General features: G+C 39.7%; 1 annotated feature.

Moving 5' to 3' along the window:
• Positions 2,479 to 3,678: an enhancer, noted in NCBI's record as "P300/CBP strongly-dependent group 1 enhancer chr4:48297678-48298877 (GRCh37/hg19 assembly coordinates)". NCBI's record gives its function as "activates an origin of replication core promoter dependent on BRD2, BRD4, P300/CBP, MED14 and CDK7 cofactors, with strong dependence on P300/CBP, by STARR-seq in HCT116 cells {active_cell/tissue: HCT116}" and the evidence as "EXISTENCE:reporter gene assay evidence [ECO:0000049][PMID:35650434]".

Raw genomic sequence — 7,392 nt, forward strand, 5'->3', positions numbered from 1 at the left:
TCTCAAGTACCCAGGGACACAAACACTGCGGAAGGCCGCAGGGTCCTCTGCCTAGGAAAACCAGAGACCTTTGTTCACTTGTTTATCTGCTGACCTTCCCTCCACTATTGTCCTATGACCCTGCCAAATCCCCCTCTGCGAGAAACACCCAAATATGATCAATAAAAAAAAAAAAAAGGAAAAAAAGACACACATGCAGAAATATAGAGGTGTGAAGTGGGAAATGAGGGGTCTCACAGCCTTCAGAGCTGAAAGCCCCGAACAGAGATTTACCCACATATTTATTAACAGCAAGCCAGTCATTAGCATTGTTTCTATAGATATTCGATTAACTAAAAGTATCCCTTATGGGAAACGAAGGGGTGGGCCGAAATAAAGGGGTGGGTCTGGCTAGTTATTTGCAGCAGGAATATGCCCTTAAGGCAGAGATCGCTCATGCTACTGTTTGTGGTTTAAGAATGCCTTTAAGCGGTTTTCTGCCCTGGGCAGGCCAGGTGTTCCTTGCTCTCATTCCGGTAAACCCACAACCTTCCAGCCTGGGCGTTATGGCCATCATGAACATGTCACAGTGCTGCAGAGATTTTGCTTATGGCCAGTTTTGGGGCCAGTTTATGGCCAGATTTTTGGGGGCCTGTTCCCAACACTCTGTCTCTACTAAAAATACAAAAATTAGCTGGGCTTGGTGATTTGTGCCTGTAATCCCAGCTACTCAGGAGGCTGAGGCAGGAGAATCGCTTGAACCAGGGAGTTGAAGGTTACAGTGAGCCAAGATCGTGCCACTGCACTCCAGCCTGGTGACAGAGTGAGACTCCATCTCAAAAAAAAAAAAAAAAAAAAAGAAACACCAGGAGTGTGTACACATATACACGCACAAAACCAGGTAAAAAAGCCAGGTGACACAGCAAGAAGGTGGCAGTCTGCAAGCCAAGGAGACAGGCTTCAGGAGAAATCAAACACCTTGATCTTGGACTTCTAGGCTACAGAACTGTGAAAAAATGTGTTTCTGTGGCCTTAGCCACCCAGTCCATGGTATTTTGTTATGTTTGATATAGCCCTAACAGACTAATGCAACAATCCTCGACAGATAGGGGACAACCTGATGTTTATATATAAGGTTTACACCTCCAGTCCTTCAAGTGGAAATTCTGAAAGGCACTTAGTATGCTGCTCAGGAGGTTTCAGCAGAATCAAAGCTCTGTGGCACAGTGCATTCACTCCATAATCCATAACACACCCTCATAATGGCATGACCTCCTTCCCTGGCTTACTCCCCCTCCTATCTCATGCCTGCTTTCTGGGATCTCCCTTACTACTGGACACATAGAAGTCCTTAACTCAAGCTCTGCTTCTGGGGGAATCCAACCTAAAACAGAACCTGCCCCTAGACTGAAAATAGGGTCTGGAGTTTGGAGGGACTTGTAGGAATGGCAGCTTTTAAGGCCCCCACTCAAATGTGGTTCCAAATGAGCTCTGAGAGGCACCAAGCAAAGGTCTACTTCATTTACCACAGTCTTGCCCACCAGAGTCCCAGCGACCAGCAGCCACATCAGGGAGAAGAATCAATGGAAATGAAGTCTGTCCATGGACTAAGTATGGGCCCCTATGTTCCTGGAACTGTGTAAGCCTGTGATTCTTGTAGGATTCCATGCAGGGGAGTAAAAGGGCTTGAATAATAACTGAGATTTGATTTCCTGCAAGATATGCAAAAGAGGGCTCAAAGTGGGTGACATACGGCTTAGAATAATAAGGAATATAACCTGTCTTACACTCTGGTGTTATGAACTCAGTGATAGCTACAACTGATTACATAAGAAACTGAGAAACTGAGATCAAGGCATGTTCCATGCCATCTCCAGAGGTCCCCGCCCAGAAGTGCTCAACCAAATTAATTCCAAATTAAGGAGATTTTGTATTACATGTGTTTATAAAATGGAAGAAATTTTTGCCTCTTCCCTTCCCTTTTCCTCTAAGACTAATTTAAATACAAGTAATTTAAAAGTTAGGAACTTCCTTTTGCTGTGTTTGTTTTTCTAATAGTGCATGTGTTTTCATCTCATTGGTAACACAACATCATGACCAAAACCAAGCTAGGCTCCCTTAGTTCAACTTATTTCTTGGCTTCTGAACAATAGTGGTAACAAAGCCCACAGGAAAATTTGGCCTTCCAGACACATTGTTGTGATGATTAGGAAATATGCTAGAACTGATGGCTGCCCTCTGAATCATTTTTAAGAGGTAAAAATTAGTATCTTTTTCCTTTAAAAGGAATTTCTTTCTCTCTTTGCAAACTTTGAGTTTCTCTGTTTTGAAGTTTTCAGATATGGACTATAAACTGTCTTCTGTGGGGTTTCTTCTTAATTGCCTGCAAAATTTCATGAAATTAGCACCTACTGTATACCTTCTTGTGTCTAGCTAGGAGACTCTCATCACATTGTTGAGTGAGTGAATAAATGAATACATTTCACTTTGTGGAATATGAGCTAATGAACTCAATTATACTTTCAAAATAGCCTTTTATCCTATGTGGCTGAGGCTGTCTGCTCTTTGTAATTTCCTGCTTTGTTAACTTTAACAGAAAAAGAAACATCTTAAGACTTGTACCCTATCTATTGAACATCCTTCCATCATAATGCAACTCAATCAACTCTTCTGAGGCTGATAGAAACATTCGAATGGACAACTCAGGATATTACCAGCTCCTATCATGGATCCTAAGTGTAGGTATTTTGATTAAGTGTCAAATGGCAAAGTAGCATGAGAATTTGACTGCTTCAGGTATAGGTAAAGTTAGAGGGGAACAGTGAGGGACAGAGAAGTTAGCTTCCCTCCTTCCTTGAATGACCTAGAGCTAGCTAGCTCCTGAGATCATAGAGAAAATAAACCCCCCGCTGTGTTTAGAATGAAATAGAAAAGTTCAGAATTCACAATAAAAACCAGCGAGTCATATCATAATATAGGTATGTACATATATCAATGGTTTTGTTCAAAGAATATTAAGTGAACAGTCACAATGATGTCAATGGTTTTGTTCAAAGAATATTAAGTGAACAGTCACAATGATGTCAATGGTTTTGTTCAAAGAATATTAAGTGAACAGTCACAATGATGTCAATGGTTTTGTTCAAAGAATATTAAGTGAACAGTCACAATGATGTATAGAACAAATTTCAATTGCTATATTTACAAATCCACAGACCTACTATATTAATACATTTTTTAAATTTACTCACTTCTTTCACTTAAATCCACTTAGTAAGGAAACCGAAAGTGCAAAGATGTGTTATTTCCTCCCTCTACCTCGTCCACTTTCAATCTCGACCTCCGACTCAGCCCCAGGCACTCAGCACCTAGCTCCTTCACGCATCCCCCTGCTGTTGGCCATCAGATAAATCCTCCTCACTCAGCTTGGGCTAGAGCTTTCTCTAGTGCTCCCAGGTGTAACTCCCAGCATGCTGTGGGAGTGGAATGTTGTGATGGACAGGAGCTCTGCCAAGTGGTCTGTCCAGAGCAGCAGCTATCCAATATAAATATAAGATGAGCCACACATGCAGGCCACATGTGTAATCGAAAGTGTTCTAATAACTACATTGAAAGAGGTAAAAAGAAATAGGCAAAATTAATGTTAATAAGGTATCTTATTTAAACCAATTTATCCAAAATATTATCACTTCAACATGTGATTGGTACAAAAAAATTATTAAGATGTTTTGCCTTCTTTGTACTAAGCTTTCACATTTTTGTGTATATTTTATACCTACAGCACACCTCACTTTGGATTCATCACTGTCAAGTGATTAATAGCCATGTGTGACTAGTGGCCCCAGATCTAGAGCATACCATGGTAGTACATTCACAGAAGGGTGAGCAGGGAAAACAACATTGTGTTAAATACTCCCAGGCATCACACTTTGGAAAACACTGCCGTTGGCGTTTCCATAGCCTGAGTTCATGATATAAAGGGATCCCTAGTCATTTTATATTAAATGAGATTCCTTAATTGACCCTAAAATTGCCCACAACCTCTTCAGAGAGATTGATTACCCTGTCCTAGGAAAGATCTTTCATACTGCAACAGATGCATCTAGATTCATCGTGGTCTGAATTGCCGTTCCTTTGGGCCATTGCTGAAACTAAGAAAAACTCTGAACTGGCAGCATTTGGTTAGATAATGGTTTCTGTTTTCCCTTCTATCTCCTGGCAAGTTTTGCAATTTTACAATCCAAAGCTTTCAAAGCTGTTGGTTGTCAATTAGCTGCTCCTATGGTATTTATACTGTACTCTAATTCTCATTTCAGGCCATGTGCATAGTCAACATGGAGTGTGAAAAAGACTATTTAAAGCATATATCCATTTTTTAAAGTTATCCTCACTACATGTAAAAATAGCATACACCCTGTCATCTTGAGTGAGAATTGTTTAGACTAGTCACACAGCTCTGCTATCTGAATCCACTAGGCCACAGAATTGCTCAACTCTGTTTGCCATTGACAATATAGGTCTGCTTAATTATGCATGTTCTGTTTTGTGTTTCAGTTTTTCTGAAAATAAAGGATATGAAAAATAACTGGTTATTTTTTTGCCATCTGTAGGCCAATGAGTTATGAAATCATAAAATAGAATTTCATAAAATAGAATTATAGATGATGAAAGGATTAGTGGCTCTTCAGGCAAAATCTGTCATATTTTAGATGAGGATAGTTCTTTTAAAAATATCTACAAGTCTTGATCTGGATTTTAATCCAGAGATTTTTGAAAAATAAAGATATTTTGAATTATTTATATTCTTAAGAAATAAGTAAAATAATTTTAACATCTCCCTAACTTAATATATTTGCTTAACAATCTTTTTTTTTTTTTTTTTTTTGAGATGGGGTCTCACTCTGTCGCCCAGGCAGGAGTGTAGTGGTGCAATCTCAGCTCACTGCAGCCTTGACCTCCCAGGTCCAAGCAATCCTCCCACTTTAGCCTCCTAAGTAGCTAGGACTACAGATGCCTACCATCATGACTGGCTAATTTGTATTTTTTATAGCGGCAGGGTTTCGCCATGTTGCCCAGACTGGTCTCGAACTACTGAGCTCAAGTGATCCACCTGCCTCGGCCTCCCAAAGTGCTGGGATAACAGGCGTAATCCACCACACCTGGCCCTTAACAATCATTTATTGAATCTCCCAGGTGCAAAGAAGACTGATAGATACAGAGACCATAAAAACAAACAATTCGATCCCTGTTTATATTTATTCTAATACATTATGATGGCAGATTACATGATTTGTAATGCTTTCAATAAACATCTAATAATATAGCTAACATGTTATTTATAATACATAAAGATACTTTTGTGGTTAACCACAGTGATGACATTAGTTAAATAACAAATTTAAATTTCAGCCAGAAATAAAGGCATTATAATAACATAGCAGAAGAGATTTAATGACAAATAGAAGGAAGACTTCCTTATGAAAACACTAGAAGGGCTTACCACAGGAGAATGGGATCTTTATCTATAAATTTAGGTTATTTCTTCATTATTCAAGGTCTGTTCAAGGAAATGTACCTGCAAGCAATAAAAGACCTTTCTCTATTTGTTTTAGTAGATTAATTTTTCGTCTACTTATGAAAGTAACCACAAGCATTTTGGAAAACACAGAGATAAAATCTCACTCCAACCCCACCATCTAAACATAGCCAAGATTAGCAATTTAGTATTCTTCATCCCTGTCTTATTTTGTTTATAGACAGTTTTATTTTATATTTTATATAGCTTTAATCATGGTATAAATACATTTTTCCTATTCTTCACTTCCTGTGACATAATTGTTGTTTCACATAAAACGTAATATTTGGAAGATATGAGATGCAATGATTTTGTGAGGTGTTAGTCCAATTATTTTATTCCCCACCCCACCATTATTCATGGCAATCTCTCCCATTTGGGCTGCAGGACAAGAGGCCACCATCTAGGTGGGGTCAGGCAGTGGTCAGTTCTGGGGGTGAGAATAAAGATGCTGAAGTCTAGCTTTTTAAGTTTATAAGGAATATCCAGATGTAAGGCTATAAACAAAAATGTGAAAGCAAGTGCATCCACATCCCCATCACCAAAAACCAAATGAAGGAACAAACCTGTAGAGGATAGGGAAGAAAAACTGAAGGGGAATCCATGGGGTTTAAGAACTGGTCACCTCCTTCAACTCTCACATTTCAGTTCATGTTTGTGTGGGGCTAGGAAACAAGTATTGGCAATGGAGCTCCTCCAGGGAGATTTAGGGGCCTCTGGTAGAGTATAATGTGCCTTCATGATCCTGACTGAAATTCTGGCAGTTCCAGCAAGTCATGGAGAAGTTGAGGAGAAGACTAGAAGGGGATAGTAGAACTCTGCCAGATCCAAGATTCCCACAGACCTCAAGAACAATGTTTACTTGAATATTGCCAGGCAATGAACTCCAGCGAACAAGTGTGGGATGGCTTGGAGCAAGCTGGGATTCTAGGCAAACAGGTCAGCAGCGGATGGTTCCTCCTTCGCTGAACATTCTAAAAAGACATGCGTGAACCAGGAAACAGCTAGGGACACTGTGCTAGCCATCCTCTAGGAGAGGGACCCCATTCCCTCTATTGCACTCTCTCTTTAAGCAAAGTGATTATGAAAGTGGCAAATGGACTGCTTGGACAGTCTGAACTTAATTGCCAGCTATTTTGGGGAGTGCTGAGAAAGCTGGCTGCCCAAAATCTGGAGACTTTGTGGGAAGATGAGTTTAGATGCAGGGCCTCCTGCTGCAGAGAGAGGGGATCCCTAGTTCTAGCCATTCTCATTTCTGGGTCTCCAAAGTCATTTATCAAGCATATTTGTCTGCACAAATATCCGAGGTTTAATACTCTGTATATTTGTTTGTAATTCAGGCATCACAAAATTCTGAACTTGCTATGTAGCATATGAAATTGCTAATGGAAGATTGTTTATTTTTTAAAAAAGACTAGAAGTCTTTAAATTTCTGGCACAGACAGGCACTCAAATATTTGTTGAATGAGTGAATGTAAGGATAATAGAATATAATAAATTCCATTTGGGATCAGATTACTAGGCTATCTAACATTTATGATGAATCCAGTTCATGAAAAAGTGTTACTTAGTGAAATAATTATATATACTTAACCTCAATTTTATTTTTGATTTAATTTTAATTTCTTTTTTTTTTTTTGAGACAGTCTCGCTTTGCTGCCCAGGCTGGAGTGCAGTGGCATGATCTTGGCTCACTGCAACCTCTGCTTCCTGGGTTCAAGCAATTCTCGTGCCTCAGCCTCCTGAGTAGCTAGGACTACAGGCACACACCACCACCCCTGGCTAATTTTTTGTATTTTAGTAGAGACGGGGGTTTCACCATCTTTCCCAGGCTGGTC

The sequence above is a fragment of the Homo sapiens genome, chromosome 4, assembly GCF_000001405.40.
Source record: "Homo sapiens chromosome 4, GRCh38.p14 Primary Assembly".
Classification (NCBI taxonomy): Eukaryota; Metazoa; Chordata; class Mammalia; order Primates; family Hominidae; genus Homo; species Homo sapiens.